Raw genomic sequence first — 21,124 nt, 5'->3', positions numbered from 1 at the left:
ACCTGTAATCCCAGCTACTTGGGAGGCTGAGGCATGAAAATCACTTGAACATGGGAGGTGGAGGTTGTAGTGAGCTGAGATTGCACCACTGCACTCTAGCCTGGGCAATAGAGTGAGACTCTGTCCCAAAACCAAACAAAAAAAAAAGTCAGCATTAGGGAGACTCCCTATTTTAGGATGATCCAAGCAGACACAGGAAATCATAGGGGAGATACTTAATTTTTTTTCTTTCTCCCAGTCTCCCTTTTTTTCCCAGTGATTGTGACGAAGCAGGTGTGTAAGTTATGAAGTAACATGACTGCAGCTACCTTGGAAAGGCTTTCCTCATCAGACTTTAGGTTTGGTGTCTGAAGTTTGCCAACCCCTCTGGTGACCATGCCAACGCTGAGGGTGTGTTCTCGAACATTCAGAACTTCTTTCTCCTAGGGACTGTCCCCTTTGTAGTGCATGCAAAATGCTTGGCCAAGGGACTAGGCTGGGGGCAACACTGCCAGAGTCAGAGCCTTGCCTACTTCCTCAGTGATGTAACTTCTCTGCCTGAGAGGTCTCTGTGGTCTTGGGTAGATGTTGGAGCTTCAGTCTCCTGATCTGCACTGTGAGGATCCAGGCCAGCATCTAAGCTGCCTGAACTCCAGAATTCTATGCCTCTGAAATTCTGATCATGGGAAGCTGCTGTATCTTTCTCTCTCTCTCTCTTTTTTTTTTTTTTTTTTTTTAATGAGATGGGGTCTTGCTCTGTCTCCCACGCTGAAGTGCAGTGGCAAGATCACAATCACAGCTCACTGCAGCCTCGACCTTCTGGGCTCGAGTTATCCTCCCACCTCAGCCTCCTGAGTAACTGGGAATACAGGTGCATGCCACCACGCCTGGCTAATTTTTTTTTTTTTTTTTTTTTTGAGACGGAGTTTTGCTCCTGTTGCCCAGGCTGGAGTGCAATGGCGCAATCTCAGCTCACCACAACCTCCGCCTCCCAGGTTCAAGTAATTCTCCTGCCTCAGCCTCCTGAGTAGCTGGGCTTACAGGCATGTGCCACCACACCAGGCTAATTTTGTATTTTTAGTAGAGATGGGGTTTCTCCATGTTGGTCAGGCTGGTCTCAAACTCCTGACCTCAGGTGATTCGCCTGCCTTGGCCTCCCAAAGTGCTGGGATTACAGGTGTGGGCCACCGCACCCAGCCTAATTTTTTAAATTATTTGTAGAGATGAGGTCTTGCTATGTTGCCCAGGCTGGTCTCTAGTGATCCTCCCACCTTGGCCTCTCAAACTGCTGGGACTACAGGCATGAGCTACTGCACCCGGCCATCTTTCATTTTTATCCCCATCTAGTGCGTTTACAGACAGGAAAGTTAAATTTATGGGAGGGCTTCAAAGCTCCTATTTTCACCTTCCACCGTCTGATAGAAGCACATATATTTAGTGTGCTTGAACTAGTGTGAATGAGAATAGCCCCTTAAAACAAGCACCTTGAAAATAATGTTGACTAAAATGGTGGTGCTGGAGTCTCATACTGCCACAGAAACTGAAGTGCACTTCTTAAATTTGTAGGGAGGAAAATGGATTGTTTTCTCCTAGTCTTTATCATAGATAACAGCTGAGTTAGTTATCTAGGTAGAGAGCAGAGACCAACTTCAGAAGGGAAGTGTTTACACTTAGAGACCTGGATTCTTTTTTTCTTTTTGTATTTTTTGAGAGATGAGGTCTGGCTATGTTGGAGATCTGGATTCTTTCAACTGGTTTTAACATTTCAGTTTTAGTCGATCTTGCTGTGTCATGTTAGATTGGTGAACTATAGGTGTTGACTGGAAGTCTAAAGAAAGGTGGGCATCTATTCCCAGCATTTTACATGTGGTAAACATGGCTGTTGAGCTGATCTGGAAACATCAGATGTTAATTAATTAATTTATTTATTTGCCACACAGTCTCCTTTATCATCCAGGCTGGAGTGCATTGACTCAATCTCGGCTCATTGCAACCTCTACTTTCTGGGTTCAAGTGATTCTCCTGCCTCAGCCTCCCGAGTAGCTGGGATTACAGGCATACGCCACCACGCCTGGCTAATTTTTGTATTTTTAGTAGAGATGGGGTTTCGCCATGTTGGCCAGGCTGGTTTCGAACTCCTGACCTCAGGTGATTCACCTGCGTCAGTCTCCCAAAGTGCTAAGATTACAGGCATGAGCCATGGTGCCCAGCAAGGAAACATCAGTTTTAGAAAGGTCTCAGGTCATGTATACCTGTGGTATCCTGCTTCAGTTGACCACTGTCAGATGGCAAGAGTATGAATAGCTCCTCATGGTCTCTTTATGGAATCCCTGAAAGCCTTCCCATGGCTGGGATGCAGCCACATGTTAGTATGGGCCAGGTGGGTTTTGAGGAGGCCAAAGGCAGTTACACAGGGCAGGCAGACATCAACTGGCTCATTTCCCTTTTTTTGTAGATTTTTTTTTTTTTTTTTGAGGCAGGGTCTCGCTCTGTTGCTCAGGCTGGAGTGCAATGGCATGATCACAGCTCACCGCCACCTCAACTTCCTGGGCTCAGTCAATCCTCCCACCTCAGCTTCCTGAGTAGCTGGGACTATAGGTGTGTGCCATCATGCTTGGCTCATTTTCTTATTTTTTGTAGAGATGGGGTCTCACAATGTTTCCTAGGCTGGTCTTGAATTCCTGGGCTCAAGTATTTCTTCCACCTCAGCCTTCCAAAGTGCTGGGATTATAGTCATGAGCCACCATGCCCAGCTGATTTTTTTTTTAACTATTTTATAGAGATGGGATCTTGCTGTGTTGTCTAGGCTGGTCTCCAACTCCTAGCCTCAAGTGATCCTCCTGCCTCAAAGTGATCCAAAGTGCTGGGATTGCAGGCAGGAGCCACCATTGTCAGCCTCCCATGGATTTTGGAGGTGTGTTTTTTATCCTGGTTTAGTCCATGACCCAAGCATTAACTGGTTGTCTAGCTTTCCTGTGTTACCTAGTTTGATCCTCACAGCATCTCTGGCAAGTGGCTAGAGCAGGTGATCATCTACCTTCCCATTTTGTGAGTGAGCCCTGAGTCCCTGGGATGTTTGGTGGCCTACCCTGGCTGCAGGGCTTAGGGTGTGCAGTGGAGTAGCCTGACTTATCAGATGTCCTCGCCTGATCCTAGACACACATGTCCATGCTGCTGCTGCCTTTCCCCATTGTAGCTGTTGCATTTCTTCCCTGGGTAGAGTGAAGGAATGTTCTGTTGGATTCCTACCAGATTGCAATGTTAGGGGACAGAGCTGAAAGGTGCATGGTGCTGTGTAGGGCCAGAGAATTGTGGCATGCTCTGGGCCGGGCTTGATCAACTTACTGTTCCATTTAATCTGTAAACTTGCTTTTCTGTAGATTTGAGTACACCTCCTTTGTAAAAGGTATTTATAAACCCAGTTGTTAGTGTCATTGTTCTCCAGAACGTCCTTTGTTTTGACAATATCTTTTGGAGAAGAACACACTAAGCTAGTCTAATAAGGAAAGTTTCATGTCAAGATTTCACAGAATATTTATATATACCTACTATGTTCCAGGCCCTATACTAGGTATAGGGAGAACAGATGTAAAGCCAGCACAGATCAGCTTTGTCCTCAGGAAGCCTGTGGCCCATTCAGTAGAGAGTGGACTGAAAGTCTTTCTGCAAGAGGAGGCAGAGCCTGGGAACAGTTGGGAGGAATGAGTAGGAGTTCCCCAGTAGGCGAGACCTGTTAGACCTATGAGTCTGATGGGTAACTAGCTTGACTTCTGGGTGCTAGGCTTTCTGGGCACTCCTCAAGTATAAGAGAGCTCTGTGGAGTAGGAGGGGCTGTGTTTGAGCTAAGAGCTTGGCACAGACTGATGGGCTTCAACTGCATTTTGCCGAGTCACCAGAGCTGTGAACTCGGGGAGCGGGTCTGGTGGGGTGAGGAGACATCAGAGCACTGCCAGTGGTGCCAGGAGATAAGGGGCATCCAGGTCTGTCTTTCTAGGAAGCGAAGGAGGGCCTGAAGCTGAGGGTCCCTGGGGAGGAGCAATGTCTGCAGGCAGAGTTCATGGACCTGTGGGTGTCCCTGGCTCTTAGTGATGACACATGGAGGGTGTGGCTGGCTAGGCTGACAGATGCTCCAGTGTGACCCTCAAAATAGACTGTAACATCATCCCAGCGGCGGAGGCCTCCTGACATGTGATGGTTGCTTTACCCAAGAGTAGTAGGCCTGGGCTAGAGCACTGGAAGGCATGGAGAGGGGTGGGGGCATTTTCCTCTGTAGCCAGTGTCTGGGCCCAGGCCCAGAGCAGGGGTCTCTGACCACAGCCAGCCTTCCCTTGCTCCTGCAGCTGACTTCCTTTGGCCAGGCAGCAGTGCACTCATTCATTCATTCCAGACACCAGGGCGCAGTACCCATTGTTTTTTTTTTTTGGTTGTTGTTGTTGTTGTTGTTTTTGAAACAGAGTCTCGCTCTGTTGCCAGGCTGGAGTGCAGTGGCACAATCTTGGCTCACTGCAAACCTCCGCCTCCTGGGTTCAAGTGATTCCCCTGCCTCACCCTCCCGAGTAGCTGGGACTACAGGCGTGCACCACCATGCCCAGCTAGTTTTTGTATTTTTAGTAGAGACGGTGTTTCACCATGTTGGCCAGGATGTTCTAGATCTCTTGACCTCATGATCTGCCCTCCTCAGCCTCCCAAAGTGCTAGGATTACAGGTGTGAGCCATCACATCCATTGTTTTGTCCCAGCCTGGGCCCCAGGAGCACAGGCATGAGGCCCCACCGGTGGTGTCGAAGGGTCAGGCCACCGTATGTGTCATATCCAGGGGTGGCCTGGAGGATGGACTGTACCTCAGAGTTTGAGGAAAACATCATAGAATCATATAAGAGGTGATGTGGGCTCTGGAAAGAGGAGTTAGAGTGTTCTAGGTGAACAAAGTGAGAAGCAGATGCTTCAGGCAGAAGAAACAGTGCATAAAAAGACATGGAGCTGGCCGGGCGCAGTGGCTCACACCTGTATTCCCGGCACTTTGGGAGGCCAAGGCGGGCGGATCACGAGGTAAGGAGATCGAGACCATCGTGGCTAACATGGTGAAACCCCGTCTCTACTAAAAATACAAAAAATTAGCCAGGCATGGTGGCGGGCGCCTGTAGTCCCAGCTACTCGGGAGGCTGAGGCAGGAGAATGGCGTGAACCCGGGAGGCCGAGCTTGCAGTGAGCCGAGATCGCGCCACTGCACTCCAGCCTGGGCAACAGAGCGAGACTCTGTCTCAAAAAAAAAAAAAAAAAAAAGAGATGTGGAGCGCAGAACATGAGGTCGGTAGGGCCAGACTGAAAATACCTTGTGTGTGGCCTGGCTCATGCCTGTAATCCCAGTACTTTAGGAGACTGAGGCGGGCAGGTCACTTGAGTTCAGGAGTTCGAGAACAGCCTGGCCAACATGGCGAAACCCCATCTCTCCTAAAAATACAAAAATTAGCCAGGCGCTAATAATAGTGGTGGTGCATGCCTGTAATCCCAGCTACTTGGGAGGCTGAGGCAGGAGAATCACTCGAACCTGGGAGGTGAAGGTTGCAGTGAGCCGAGATCACGCCACTGCTCTCCAGCCTGGGTGACAGAGTGAGACTCTGTCTTAAAAAAATAAAAAAGAAAATACCTTGTATGCTGTGGCCAGGGAGCGTGGGCTGTATCTTGAGGGCAGTAGCAGTGTGGGGGGCTGTGGATCTACCCATGCTTTTGAGAGTGAAGAAAAGAAGAGACTCTGCCAGTCTGGTTCAGCCAGGCTTCTCTGGCCAAGAGCCCTTGTCCAGGGTGGGCCAGTGACTTTAGGTCTTTGGCTCTAGCATGGTTTTCTCATAGCGGTTGTCTTTTTTTCTCTTGGCTGTTCCTTTGGTATGAAGAGATGAAGGGATGGGGTGTGAAAGACTGGTAGCCAGGAGGCTTCTCAGAGGTGAGAGGACTCTGCTTGTGCTGGAGTTCTGGTATTTTGGTTTTGCCAGCTCCCATCTGAAAGACAGTAATGCCCCATGTTTTATACCCAAGCATCTCCTCTGGTGAGCCAGAATCAGCCAAAGTGATTTTCCATGGAGACCTAGAGAGCCACTGTTAATTAAGATATCTTGATTAAGATCTCACCTGCCACATTCCTGGTGTGGAGGACCATCTAAGCTTAGGCCCTTCCAGCTGAGAGACAGCTGTGGCTGGCTTCTCACCCTGGATCCCCTCACCAAGTTCCAGTCTACATGCATTGTACAGTGCTGTTGAGAACTTTGGTGCTCATATGTCATCTGGGGAAGGCGTTGTCCTGCCCGCCCTGATAAGAAGGTGCTGTCCTTGCCCAAGGTAGGTACAGGCCGTGGTTGTGCCCCATTTTCCCTTACTGCCCCCCGGAGTTGATGGTCTTACAGGCAGATGCTGAGCTTTGGGCTGCACTTCTACTCAGGTAACACATTGTGCTATTTGTGGAGACATGGAATGTTTGGGTTCTGGAACACAGGGTAGGATGTTTGGGTTCTGGAACACGGGGTAAGAGAACTGGAGTCTAGATGGTGGCCACTGTTCTTTGCTTTTTTTTTTTTTTTTTTTTTTGAGAGAGGGTCTCTCTCTGTCACTCAGGCTGGAGTGCAGTGGCACAATCATGGCTCACTGCAGCCTCGACCTCCTGAGTTCAAGCAATCTTCCTACCTGAGACTCTTGAGTAGCTGGGACTACAGGTGCATGCCATCATGCCTGGCTAATTTTTATTTTATTTATTTAATTTATTTTTTGAGACAGAGTGTTGCTCTGTCACCCAGGTTGGAGTCCAGTGGAGTGATCTCGGCTCACTGCAACCTCCGCCTCCCAGGGTTCAAGTGATTCTCATGCCTCAGCCTCCTGAGTAGCTGGGATTACAGGCGTGTGCCATGACACCTGGCTAATTTTGGTATTTTTAGTAGAGACGAGGTTTTGCCATGTTGGCCAGGCTGGTTTTGAACTCCTGACCTCAAATGATCTGCCCACCTCAGCCTCCCAAAGTGCTGGGACTACGGGTGTGAGCCACCATCCCCAGCCCTGGCTAATTTTTAAATTTTTTGTAGAGACAGGGTCTTGCTATATTTCCTAGGCTGGTCTGGAACTCCTACGCTCAATCAATCCTCCTGCCTCAGCCTCCCAAAGTGCTGGGATTACAGGCATGAGCCACCACACCTGGCCTGTGGCCACTTTTCTGGTAGGGCCTCCCTCCTCACTGTATGTTGCTACCCAGGCTCCAACTGTGAGCTGAGAGTGGGGAGCGTCGTTGCCTTCTTTATAGCTGGGGCCTTCTTGGTCAAGGATTAGCTTTTAGAGAAATTCCTAGAATTCACTTCACCTCCTGCCTTTCTGCCTTGATGGTGTTTTTGTTCTCTGGAACTTTTGGTCTTTTCCCTGTATGGGTCATGGTGTAAGGGAGATTCCTTGTTAGAAGAGAAGCAGAAGCTCATCAGGCCAGAGCACAGGAGGATGAACCTAGCAGCCCCATGTGGCAGGCACTGTGTGCCATTCCTATTATGGGACCATTGGGAAGGAATAAAGGGCTCCAGAGTGGGTCTTGTGTGGTCGGGTCAAGTTGGAAAGAAGGGACTCATCAGTGGAAGAGGGATGGATAATTATGTCTAAATGCAAAGATGTTCCTCTGCCTCTCCATTCTGTTCAAAATCCATATAAAATGTCTTTGTAATTCTAGGATCGTTGGTGTTGTGACTTGGTGGTGGAACAGAGCCTAGCCCTTCTGTCATGAAGGGGCCAGAACAAGATGCTCTGTACTATATAGGGAAGTTGGGAGGGGACTGGGGAAGCCCTTGGCACCCCTCTTATGCCATTTCTTGTTACTTAACTCTTGGAATTAGAGATGCTTGGGGTTTCAGGGGAGTTTAGTTTAGGTCAGGGGTGGCAAGTGTGAAGGCCCCAATACCCCACAATACCCTCAGCTTCTATGACCAACATTACTGATTGACAGTAGCACTTGTTCTTGTCCAGACAGAGCCCAGAATTTTTCTCAATGCACAGCACATCAGGCAGCTATAATTTACTGGTCAGAGTTTCATCATGAGATGAAATCTACTAGCCCTCAGGGTGGAGGTGGTTGGAAGATAAGTGGATAGAGGCCCAGATGGTTGAGGGCTCAGCTTATTTCTTCTAAAGGAGAGTCCCAAGGCAGAGCTGAACCAAGAGGAAAGAAACAGAGGGGTTGGATTGCTGAGTAGAACTGATTCTAACCCAGTTTATAAAGCCATGTATCTGAAATTGGCATGGACTTTTTAAAAAAATGGAATGCCCTGTTTTTATAACAACTTGCACCAGTAGTTTGTCAGTAGTTATATTTACTTTTATAAAAATCAAAATAGGCTGTGTGCTGTGGCTCACACCTGTAATCCCAGCGCTTTGGGAGGCCGAGGCAGGCGGATCACAAGGTCAGGAGTTTGAAACCAGCCTGGCCGACATGGCGAAACCCTGTCTCTACTAAAAGTAAAAAATATTAGCTGGGCATGGTGGCAGGCGCCTGTAATCCCAGCTACTCAGGAGGCTGAGTCAGGAGAATCACTTGAACGCGGGAGGTGGAGGTTGCAGTGAGCTGAGACTGTGCCACTGCACTCCAGCCTGGGCAACAGAGTAAGGCTCTGTCTCCAAAAAAAAAAAAAAAAAATCAAAATATTTTTATTTTACGTATAGAAAACATTTGTTTGTTTGTTTGTTTGTTTATTTTTGAGACGGAGTCTCACTCTGTCGCCCAGGCTGGAGTGCAGTGGTGCGATCTCAGCTCACTGCAAGCTCCACTTTCCGGGTTCACGCCACTCTCCTGCCTCAGCCTCCTGAGTAGCTGGGACTACAGGTGCCCGCCACCGCACCTGGCTAATTTTTTGTATTTTTAGTAGAGATGGGGTTTCACCGTGGTCTCGATCTCCTGACCTCGTGATCCACCCGCCTCGGCCTCCCAAAGTGCTGGGATTACAGGTGTGAGCCACCGCGCCCGGCCGAAAACCTTTATTTTTAAAAAATTATTTTATTTGTTTGTTTATTTTGAGACGGAGTTTCACTCTTGTTGCCCAGGCTGGAGTACAATGGCACGATCTTGGCTCACCATAACTTCCGCCTCCCGGGTTCAAGCGATTCTCCTGCCTCAGCCTCCTGAGTAGCTGGGATTACAGGCGTGCACCACCATGCCTGGCTAATTTTGTATTTTTAGTAAAGACAGGGTTTCTCCATGTTGGTCAGGCTGGTCTTGAACTCCCGACCTTAGGTCATCCTCCTACCTCAGCCTCCCAAAGTGCTGGGATTATAGGTGTGGACCACCGCACCCAGCCTATTTATTTTTTTGAGGCGGGGTCTCACTCTGTTGCCCAGGCTGGAGTGCAGTATTGCAATCATGGCTCTGCAACCTCCCCTCCTGCTCAAGAGATTCTCCCACCTCAGCCTCCTGAGTAGCTGGGACTACAGGCACATGCCATCATGCTCAGCTAATTTTTTTTTTTTTAAGTAGAAATGGAATTTCACCACTTGCCCAGGGTGATCTTCCTGGGCTTAAGTGATCTGCCTGTCTTGGCCTCCCGGAGTACTGGGATTACAGGTGTGAGCCACTGTACTTGGCCTTTTTTTGTTGCTGTTTTTTTTTTTTGTTTTTTTTTTTTTTTAATTTGAGGCAGGGTCTCACTCTTGTCACCTAGGCTGGAGTGCAGTGGCAAGATAGTGGCCTGAAATTTTTTTTTTTAACTGTTAAAGAATATGTAGGATTTTTTTTAGGCTGGGCCCAGTGGCTCAAGCCTGTAATCCCAGCACTTTGGGAGGCTGAGGCAGGTGGATCATGAGGTCAGGAGATCAAGACCATCCTGGCTAACACGGTGAAACCCTGTCTCTACTAAAAATACAAAAAAATTAGCTGGCCATGGTGGCACACACCTGTAGTCTCAGCTCTTCGGGAGGCTGAGGCAGGAGAATTGGTTGAACCTGGGAGGCGGAGGTTATAGTGAGCCGAGATCGTGCCACTGCACTCCAGCCTGGGAGACAGAGTGAGACTCCATCTCAAAAAAAAAAAAAAAAAGAATATGTTGGATTTTTTTAATACCTGATAAAGTCTACGTTTAAAAAATACACAGCAGGCCGGGTGTGGTGGCTCGTTTTTTATTTTGAGACGGAGTCTCGCTGTGTCACCCAGGCTGGAGTGCAGCAGCATGACCTCGGCTCACTCCAACCTCCGCCCCCTGAGTTCAAGCAATTCTCCCGCCTCAGCCTCCTGAGAGCTGAGGTTACAGGCATGCACCACCATGCCTGGCTAATTTTTGTATTTCTAGTAGAGATGGGGTTTCGCCATGTTGGCCAGGCTGGTCTCAAACTGCTGATCTCAGGTGATCTGCCCGCCTCGGCCCCTCAAAGTGCTGGGATTACAGGCTTGAGCCACCACCCCGACCAGTCCCAGCACTTTGGAAGGCCAAGACGGAAGGATTGCTTGAGCCTAGGGGTTCAAGACCAGCCTGGACAACATAGTGAGACCCCCACCTCTACGAAACATTTTTAAAAATGAGCGGGGTGTGATAGAATACTTCTGTAGACCTAGCTACTTGGGAGGCTGAGGCAGGAGGATTGCTTGAAACCAGGAGTTTGAGGCTACAGTGAGCTATGATTGAGCTACTGCATTCCAGTGTGGATGAGAGAGTGAGACTCGTCTCAAAAATAAATAAATAAATAAATAAAATAAAAAATAAAAATAAATAGCAGAGGGATAGAGAGATGCAGGTTTAAACAAATGCAGGCTTATGGCCATTATGTGCATAGTACTAGTAGAAGCAAATGCAGAAAACAGAAACCAGAAATTTCCAGTAGAAAGGGGTTTAATATATGGACTTTGATGCTTATAAAATTATCAAGACTTAGAATTTTCATGTAGTGGTGGACTAGGCTACTTAAATAATGTCTCCGATTGAAAATAAGATGGCAGATAAAATATTACAAGCGAGGCTGGGCACGGTGGCTCACGCCTGTAATCCCAGCACTTTGGGAGGCTGAGGTGGGCGGATCACCTGAGGTTAGGAGTTTGAGACCAGCGTGACCAACATGGTGAAACCCTGTCTCTACTAAAAATACAAACATTAGCCAGGCATGGTGGCGTATACCTGTAATCCTAGCTACTCGGGAGGCTGAGGCAGGAGAATTGCTTGAACCTGGGAAGCGGAGGTTGCAATGAGCCGTGGTCGTGCCATTGTGCTCCAGCCAGTCAAACAAGTGAAACTCCATCTAAAAAAAAAAAAAAAAAAAAAAATTACAAGCCAGCCAACTCAAGGCCAGTGTCTGGATGAACACCTGTAACTAGAGTTAAGGGTAGTGTCTGTGTACCAAAGGACATTTGTGGTGTTCACACACTGCTATGCTTGTGTGCTTCAGCTCCGTAATTACACAGGGCCATAGAGGTGGAGGTTAGACCCCTGTGGGGTCTAATGGGAACTCTCTCAAATTAAGCTGGGGCATTAGTGGCTACACCCTCCGGTTACGGGCAGTGCCTTTGGGTTTTTGAATGTGGCAGGCTCTGGAAAGTCAAGGTTTGGTACTTGAGACTCTGTTAGTACATTAGAGAAGGAGCTCAGAACCAAGGATGTGTAACCTGCCTAGGGCCACCAATAGGGGCTGTTCTGCCCCTTTTGTCTGGTAATCTCTCGGGGTGCTTTGATAGTGCTGGTGACATTGGGCACATGAGGGTCTCCTGACCCATACACAGAACCACATTTCTCCATACGAGCACCCTAACTTGAGGCCCCTTTGCTTTCTGGCCTATTCTTTTTTTTTTTTTTTGAGACGGAGTCTTGCTCTGTTGCCAGGCTGGAGTGCGGTGGTGTGATCTTGGCTCACTGCAACCTCTGACTCTCAGTTTTAAGCGATTCTCCTGTCTCAGCCTCCTGAGTAGCTGGGACTATAGGTGCGTACCACCATGCCCAGCTAATTTTTGTATTTTGTATTTTATGGGGCTTCACCATATTGGCCAGGATGGTTTCGATTTCTTTTTTTTTTTTTTGAGATGGAGTCTCGCTCTGTCACCCAGGCTGGACTGCAGTGGCGGGATCTCGGCTCACTGCAACCTCTGCCTCCCAGGTTCATGCCATTCTCCTGCCTCAGCCTCCCAAGTAGCTGGGACTACAGGCGTCCGCCACTACGCCTGGCTAATTTTTTTTTTGTATTTTTTTTTAGTAGAGATGGGGTTTCACCGTGTTAGCCAGGATGGTCTTGATCTCCTGACCTCGTGATCCGCCTGCCTCGGCCTCCCAAAGTGCTGGGATTACAGGCGTGAGCCACGGTGCCTGGTCTAGCCTATATTTTTTGAATAGTTCTAAGGCCCAGGTCACTCATCTCTGTAATGCCCTTCCTCTTAGTAGCAAATCTACACAGAATTGGGCTCAGTGGGTGACTGCATGGCTTCCTGGGGCAGGGGCGGGTATGGTTGCTTGCTGGAGGAGCAGCTTACACGTAGCAGCCAGTGTCATGATGGACTGAAGCTTGCTTTATTTATTTATTTACTTTTTTTTTTTTTTTTTGAGACGGAGTCTCACTCTGTTGCCCAGGCTGGAGTGCAGTGGTGTGATCATAACTCACTGCAGCCTCAAACTCTTGGGCACTAGCAATCCTCCTGCCTTGGCCTATCAAAGGCTGGTATTACAGGTGTGAGCCAGCACACCTGGCATTGACTATGGCCTTAAGTGGGCCGATTAGACTATGAAATAAAATTCCTAGCACTGAATATTAGCCCTCATTTCAGACCTAAATATCAGTTGTTGTTTTTCCTGAACCATCTTCCAAGGATCATTTTGTAACTGAGGTCCCAGAGTTCCCCTTTGATGTAGAGGCTGTTGATTTCTTTTCTGGGGCAGGTTCTGATAGCAACAAGATTGCCAGCCTGCTGAACTGTGGCTAAGGTATTAGATGTCAAGATGAAACTGTCCAGTGAGATTCCTGGAGCCCCTGGGAGGTCTAGGGTTGGGGGTACTGGTGACTAGCCCTTTCACCTGAGGGTAGGTGGCAGAGCTGGTACCTTCCTGCAGCCTCCAACAGCCATCTCAGCCCTGAGGCTGAAGACCTTGTCTCTTCTCTCCTTTTCATCACTTCCTACCAGAGCCCTGTGGGTGTAGGGACATCCTGCTGATGGAGCTTAAATTTAAAACGTCGAGCCCCATTGGCTCCTGTATCTTATGCAGCAGTTCTTAAAAGTGCCCATAGGCTTGCCAGCCCATGAAATATACCTTCCCTCTAAAAAGAAATTGGTAAAACTGGGCCGGGCATAGTGGCTCACACCTGTAATCCCAGCACTTTGGGAGGCCGAGGTGGGTGGATCACGAGGTCAGGAGATCAAGACCAGCCTGGCTAACATGGTGAAACCCTGTCTCTACTAAAGATACAAAAAATTAGCCAGGCGTGGTCGCACACGCCTACAGTCCCAGCTACTTGGGAGGCTGAGGCAGGAGAATCGCTTCAACCCGGGAGGCAGAGGTTGCAGTGAGCCGAGATTGCGCCAATGCACTCCAGCCTGGGCGACAGAGCGAGACTCTGTCTCAAAAAAAAAAAAAAAGAAATAAATTGGTAAAACTGGCCAGGCTCTGTGGCTTATGCCTGTAATCACAGCACTTTGGGAGGCTGAGGTGGGTGGATCATGAGGTCAAGAGTTTGAGACCAGCCTGGTCAACATGATGAGACCCCGTCTCTACTAAAAATACAAAAATTAGCCAGGCATGGTGGCGAGTGCCTGTAATCCCAGCAGCTCAGGAGGCTGAGGCAGGAGAATTGCTTGAATCTGGGAGGCGGAGGTTGCAGTGAGCCAAGACTGTGCCACTGCACTCCAGCCTAGGCAACAGATTGAGGCTCCATCTCAAAAAATAAAAAAATAAAAAATTGGTAAAAGTAGAAACAGTTGGGTCCTTCTTCACTCTTGTCATTTGCTGTGGGCTAAGTGCGGGACTTCTGGCCCCAATGTGAGGCCAGAATACTCTTATGCTGCCCATTGTGCTCTGTGCCAGGGCCTCCCTTGTCTCATCGGGAAAAGCCAGATGCGGTCCTTGCTGGTTTGCAGGGCCATAGGGGTGTTCTTGGTGTCTCTGTGTATGTGTGTGTGGTAAAATATATGTAACATAAAATATGCCATTTTATCCATTTTCAGTGTGTAATTCAGTGGTATTAATTGCATCCACAATGTTGTGCAACCATCACCATATCACTGTCTATTTCTAGAACTTTTCCATCACCCCAAACAGAAACTCTGTACCCATTAAGCAGTAATTCTCCATTTCTCCTTCCTCCTAGTCCCTGTTAACCTCTGATCTACTTTCTGTTTCTATGAATTTGCTTATTCTTGATAGTTCATGTAAGGGGAATCCTACAATATTGGTCCTTTTGTGTCTGACCCATTTCACATAGCATTATGTTTTCAAGGTTTATCTGTGTTGTGGCATGTTTCATAACTTCATTTCTTCTTCTTCTTTTTTTTTTTTAATTTGAGACAGAGTCTCATTCTGTCACCCAGGCTGGAGTGCAGTGGTGCGATCTCGGCTCACTGCAACCTCCGCCTCCCAGGTTCAGCAATTCTCCTGCCTCAGCCTCCCGAGTAGCTGGGATTACAGGTGTGCACCACCACGCCCAGCCAATTTTTGTATTTTTAGTAGAGATGGGATTTCGCCATGTTGGTCAGATTGATCTTGAACTCCTGACCTCGTGATCCGCCTGTCTTGGCCTCCCAAAGTGCTGGGATTACAGGTGTGAGCCACTGCGCCCAGTCCATTTCTTCTTATTTATTTATTTAGTTGTTTTTAAGATATATGGTTGTCTGGGCATGGTGGCTCATGCCTGTAATCCCAGCACTTTGGGAGACTGAGATGGGTGGATCACCTGAGGTCATGAGTTTGAGACCAGCCTGACCAACATGGTGAAACCCCGTCTCTACTAAAAATACAAAAAATTAGCCAGGCGTGGTGGTGTGTGCCTATAATCCCAGCTACTTGGGAGGCTGAGGCAGGATAATCACTTGAATCCAGGAGGTGGAGGTTGCAGCAAGCCGAGATGGTGCCATTGCACTCCAGCCTAGGCAACAGAGTGAGACTCCATCTCAAAAAAAAAAGAAATATGGTCTTGTTCTGTTGCCCAGACTGGAGTGCAGTGGCACAATCATGGCTCACTGTATCCTTGAGCTCCTAGGCTCAAGAAATCCTCTAGCCACAGCCTCCTGAGTAGTAGCTAGGATTGCAGGCATATGCCACCATGCCTGGGTACATTTTTTTTTTTTTTTGAGATGGAGTCTTATTCTGGTGCCCAGGCTGGAGTGCAGTGGCATGATCTTGGCTCACTGCAACCTCTACCTCCCAGGTTCAAGCTATTCCCCTGCCTCAGCCTCCTGACTAGCTGAGACTACAGGCGTGCACCACCACACCTGGCTAAATTTTGTATTTTTAGTAGAGATGGCATTTCACCATATTGGCCAGGCTGGTCTTGAATTCTTGACCTCAAGTAATCTGCCCGCCTCAGCCTCCCAAAGTGCTGGGATTATAGGCGTGAGCCACTGTGCCCGGCCTGCCTGGATAATTTTTTTTTTTTCCTCTTTTGAGACGGAGTCTCACTCTGTTGCCCAGGCTGGAGTGCAGTGGTGTGATCTTGGCTCACTGCAGCCTCCACCTCGGTTCAAGCTATTCCCCTGCCTCAGCCTCCCAAGTAGCTGGGACTATAGGCGTGTGCCACCACACCTGGCTAATTTTTGTATTTTCAGTAGAGATGGAGTTCACCATGTTGGCCAGGCTGGTCTCGAACTCCTGACCTCAAGAGATCTGCCCGTCTCGGCCTCCCAAAGTGCTGGAATTATAGGTGTGAGCCACTGTGCGCGTCCTGCCTGACTAATTTAAAAAAAAATTTTGGGGGCAGGAGCGGTGGCTCATGCCTGTAATCCCAGCACTTTGGGAGGCCAAGGCAGGCAGATCACGAGGTCAGGAGATCAAGACCATCCTGGTTATATGTTGAAACACCGTCTTTACTAAAAATACAAAAAAAAGGGCTGGGCGCGCTGGCTCACGCTGTAATCCCAGCACTTTGGGAGGCCGAGGCGGGTGGATCACGAGGTCAGGAGATCGAGACCATCCTGGCTAACATGGTGAAACCCCCTCTCTACTAAAAAAATACAACAAAAAATTAGCCGGGCATGGTGGCGGGCGCCTATAGTCCCAGCTACTCGAGAGGCTGAGGCAGGAGAATGGTGTGAACCTGGGAGGCGGAGCTTGCATTGAGCCGAGATCGCACCACTGCACTCCAGCCTGGGCGACAGAGCAAGACTCTGTCTCAAAAGAAAAAAAAATTTGTAGAGGCCAGGCGTGGCTCTACAGGCTGACAGAGTGAGACTCTATCTCAATCAATCAATCAGTCAGTCAATCAAAGTTCCAGCTACTTGAGAGGCTGAAGCAAGAGGATTGCTTGAGCTCAGGACTACAGGCTCACGCCTGTAATCCCAGCACTTTGGGAGGCTGAGGCGGGTGGATCATGAGGTCAAGAGATCAAGACCATCCTGGACAACATGGTGAAACCCAGTCTCTACTAAAAATAAAAAAATTAGCTGAGTGTGTTGGCATGTGCCTGTAGTCACAGCTACTCGGGAGGCTGAAGCTGGAGAATCACTTGAGCCCAGGAGGTGGAGGTTGCAGTGAGCCAAGATCGCACCACTGCACTCCAACCTGGGCAACAGGCGAGACTCCATCTCAAAAAAAAATTTTTTTTTTTCTAGAGACAGAATCTCGCTATGTTACCCAGGCTGGTCTTGACACCGGGCCTCAAGTGATCCTCTTGCCTCAGCCTCCCAACGTGCTGGGATTACAGGCATGTGCCACCATACCCAGCCTAGAACTTCATTCCTTTTTATGGCTGAATAATATTCTGTTGTACTTATATATACATCACATTTTGTTTATCCATTCTTCTGTTGATGGACGCTTAGGTTGCTTTCACCTTTTGGTTATTGTGAATAATGCTGCAGCAAACATTGGTGTACATAGTGTTTGAGTTCCTATTTTCAGTTCTTTTGGGTGTTCACCTAAGAATGGTATTGCTGGGTCATATGATAATTTTTATTTAACTTTTTTGGGTAACTACCGAACTTTTCCATAGTGGCTGCACCATTTTACATCCCCACCAGCAGTGTGTGAAGGCTCCAATTTCTTTACATCCTTGCCAACATTTATTTTATTTCTTTCTTCATTTTTTTATTTTTTAAAGCCTTGCTGTCTTGCCTAGTCTGGTCTTGAACTCCTGAGCTCAAGCAATCCTCTTGCTTCAGCCTCTCAAGTAGCTGGAACTTTGATTGATTGATTGATTGATTGATTGAGATAGAGTCTCACTCTGTCACCCAGGCTAGAGTGCACTGGCGCTATCTCAGCTCATTGGAACTTTTGCCTCCCGGGTTCAAGTGATTCTCCCACCTCAGCCTCCTGAGTAGCTGAGATCACAGGCATGTGCCACCACGCCTGGCTAATTTTTGTATTTTTAGTAGAGACAGGGTTTCACCATGTTGGCCAGGTTGGTCTCAAACTCCTGACCTCAAGTAATCTGCCTGCCTTGGCCTCCCAAAGTGCTGGAATTACAGGTGTGAGCCACCATGCCTGGCCTATTTATTCTATTTTTTCGTTGTTGTTTTTGAGATGGAGTCTAGCTCTATCCCCCAGGCTGGAGTGCAATGGCTTGATCTGGGCTCACTTCAACCACCACCTCCCTGGTTCAAGTGATTCTCATGTCTCAGCCTCCTGAGTAGCTGGAATAACAGGTGTGTACCACTACGCCTGGCTGATTTTTGTATTTTTAGTAGAGACAGGTTTCACCAAGTTGGCCAGGCTGTCCTCGAACTCCTGACCTTAACTGATCTGCCCGCCTCGGCCTCCCAAAGTGCTGAAATTTCAGGCGTGAGCCACTGCACTTGACCTGGAACTTTTAAATTATAGCTATTCTAGGTATGAAGTGGTAACTCATTGTGGTTTTGATTTGCATTTCCTAATGACTAGTGATGTTGAGGATCTTGTTATGTGCTTATTGTATGTGGCTATCTGTATAGATTCTTTGGAGAAATGTCTGTTCAAGTCCTTTGCCTGTTTGGGTTGTTTGTCTTTCTGTTGTTGAGTTATAGGAATTCTTTATTTTTGATATTAAACCCTTATCAGATCTATGATTTGCAAATACTTTTTCCTATTCCATTGATTGTCTTTTCACTCTCTTATTTTTTATTTTTATTTTTATTTTTTTCAGATGGATTTTTGCTCTGTCGCACAGGCTGGAGTGCAGTGGTGCAATCTTGGCTCACTGCAGACTTAACCTCCTGGGCTCAAGTGATCCTTCCACCTCAGCATCCCAAGTAGCTGGGACTACAGGTGCATGCCACCATGACTGGCTAAATTTTAAATTTTTTGTAGAGATGGGGTCTTGCCATGTTGCCTAGGCTGGTCTTGAACTCCTGGGCTCAAGCAGTCCTCCTGCCTCCACAGCCTCCCAAAGCACTGGTATTACAGATGTGAGCTACCATGCCTGGCCTCTTGATGATGTCTTTTTTTTTTTTTAATTATTATTATTTTTTTTGAGATGGAGTCTCGCTCTGATCTCCGCTCACTGCAAGCTCCGCCTCCCAAGTTAACGCCATTCTCCTGCCTCAGCCTCCCGAGTAGCTGGGACTACAGGCGCCTGCCACCATGCTCGGCTAATTTTTTGTATTTTTAGTAGAGACGGGGTTTCACCGTTTTAGCCAGGATGGTCTCGATCTCCTGACCTTGTGATCCACCACCTTGGCTTCCCAAAGTGTTGGGATTATAGGCGTGAGCCACTGTGCCTGGCTTTTTTTTTTTTTTTGAGATGGAGTCTCACTCACTCTGTTTCCTAGGCAGGAGTGCAGTGGTGTGATCTCAGCTCACTGCAACCTTTGCCTCCCGGGTTCAAGTGATTCTCCTGCCTCAGCCTCCTGAGTAGCTGGAATTACAGGCATGGACCACCATACCTGGCTAATTTTTGTATTTTTAGTGGAGACGGGGTTTTGCCATGTCGACCAGGCTGGTCTCGAACACCTGACCTCAAGTGGTCCGCCTGCCTCAGCCTCTCAAAGTGCTGGGATTATAGGCATGAGCCCCGATGATGTCTTTTGATGCACAGAAGTTTTAATATTAATTAAGTCCAATTCATGTATTTTTCTTTTTGTTCATCCTTTTTGTATCATCTCTAAATCCATTGTGAAATCAAAGGTCATGAAGATTTACCCTTACGCTTTCTTCTAAGAATTTTATGGTTTTGGCTCTTTCCTTTTTATTTTAGTTTTTCCCTTCCTTCCCTCCCTCCCTTCTTTCTTTCTTTCTTTTTTATTTATTTATTTATTTTTGAGACCGACTCTCGATCTGTCACCCAGGATGGAATGCAGTGGCACGATCTCGGCTCACTGCAACCTCCTCTTCCAGGGTTCCAGTGATTCTCCTGCCTCAGCCTCCCGAGTAGCTAGGATTATAGGCACCTGCCACCACGCCTGGCTACTTTTTTTGTATTTTTAGTAGAGATGGGGTTTCACCATGTTGGCCAGGTTGGTCTCAAACTTCTGACCTCAGGTGATCTGCCCGCCTCGGCCTCCCAAAGTGCTGGGATTACAGGCGTGAGCCACCGCACCCAGCCTATTTTTTTTTTTTTAAGTGCTACTGGGCCAGTGCCAGATTTTTGGCCCAGGGCCTTACCTCTTATATTTAGATCATTTTCTTTTCTTTTCTTTTTCTTTTTTTTTTTTAGATGGAGTTTCGCTCTTGTCACCCAGGCTGGAGTGCAATGGCTCAATCTCGGCTTACTGCAACCTCCGCCTCCCGGGTTCAAGCGATTTTCCTGCCTCAGCCTCCCGAGTAGCCGGGATTACAGGCATACACCACCAAGCTAGGTTAATTTTTTTTTTTTTGGGATGGAGTTTCACTCTTGTGGCCCAGGCTGGAGCGCAATGACTCGATCTTGGCTCACCGCAACCTTCACCTCCCAGGTCCAAATGATTCTCCTGCCTCAGCCTCCAGAGTAGCTGGGATTAGAGGCATGGGCCACCACGCCCGGCTAATTTTGTATTTTTAGTAGAGACGGGGTTTCTCCATGTTGGTCAGGCTGGTCTCAAACTCCCAACCTCAGGTGATCCTCCCGCCTTGGCCTCCCAAAGTGCTGGGATTACAGGCGTGAGCCACCAGGCCTGGCCTAATTTTGTATTTTTAGTAGAGATAGGGTTTCACCATGTTGGTCAGGCTGGTTTCAAACTCCTGACCTCAAATGATCCACCCGCCTTGGGCTCCCAAAATACTGGAATTAACAAGCGTGAGCCACCTCTCCCGGCCTCCACCTGATTTTCTTATGTTGAACCATCCTTGCCTTTCTGGGATAAATCCCATTAGGTTGTGGTATATAATCCTTTTAATACACTGTTGGATTTGGTCTGCTACTATTCTATTAAGGATTTTTGCATCTATATTCATCTATATTGCTCTATAACTTTCTTTTCCTTTGATGTCTTTTTTTTTTTTTTTTTTTTGAGACGGAGTCTCTCTCTCTGTCACTCAGGCTGGAGTGCAGTGGCGCCATCTTGGCTCACTGCAACCTCCACCTTCCAGGTTCAAACACTTCTCTGCCTCAGTCTCCCGAGTAGCTGGGATTATAGACACCCGTCAGCACGCCCGGCTAATTTTTTTGTATTTTTAGTAGAGATGGGGTTTTACCATCTTGGCTAGGCTGGTCTTGAACTCCTGACCTTGTGATCCACCTGCCTTGGCCTCCCAAAGTGCTGGGATTATAGGCGTGAGCCACCGCACTCAGCCTGATGTCTTCTTAGTGGCTTTTTGATTGCTGTTCCAGGGTCTTCCTCATCTTGGGTTTGCATCTGGGCACTGCACATTTACAATGTGCACAGACATTTTTCTGTGAAGAATTGAAGTCTAGGTCAAAGCTGGGAAGGAGCTTAGGAGCCTTTGGTTTAACCTTTCCTCCTCTAATAAGGAACCTGATATGTGGGTTGAAATCTAAGACCCATAGTCTTGAATTAGGCTGGAGTGTCTGAGACCAGCCTTTTAGAGTCAAGGGTGTTGTGTTTGGAGCCCTGCTGTGAAGTGTTCTTGTCACCTCAGAACTCTTCAGGAGGCAGGAGGGGAAGTCAGACT

General features: G+C 47.9%; 1 protein-coding gene across 6 annotated transcripts in view, besides 1 other annotated feature; it reads left to right on the top strand.

Moving 5' to 3' along the window:
- RANBP10 (RAN binding protein 10) overlaps window positions 1–21,124 on the top strand; it is an 83,491-nt gene that overhangs the window by 2,014 nt on the left and 60,353 nt on the right. The window lies entirely within an intron of this gene.
- Window positions 2,319–2,398: an enhancer, noted in NCBI's record as "active region_10984". NCBI's record gives its function as "activates an Ori minimal core promoter by ATAC-STARR-seq in GM12878 lymphoblastoid cells {active_cell/tissue: GM12878}" and the evidence as "EXISTENCE:reporter gene assay evidence [ECO:0000049][PMID:35858748]".

This window comes from Homo sapiens, chromosome 16, assembly GCF_000001405.40.
Source record: "Homo sapiens chromosome 16, GRCh38.p14 Primary Assembly".
NCBI lineage: Eukaryota > Metazoa > Chordata > Mammalia > Primates > Hominidae > Homo > Homo sapiens.
The sequence above is the reverse complement of the archived record's forward strand: the minus strand, read 5'-3'. Positions and strand labels throughout refer to the sequence as shown.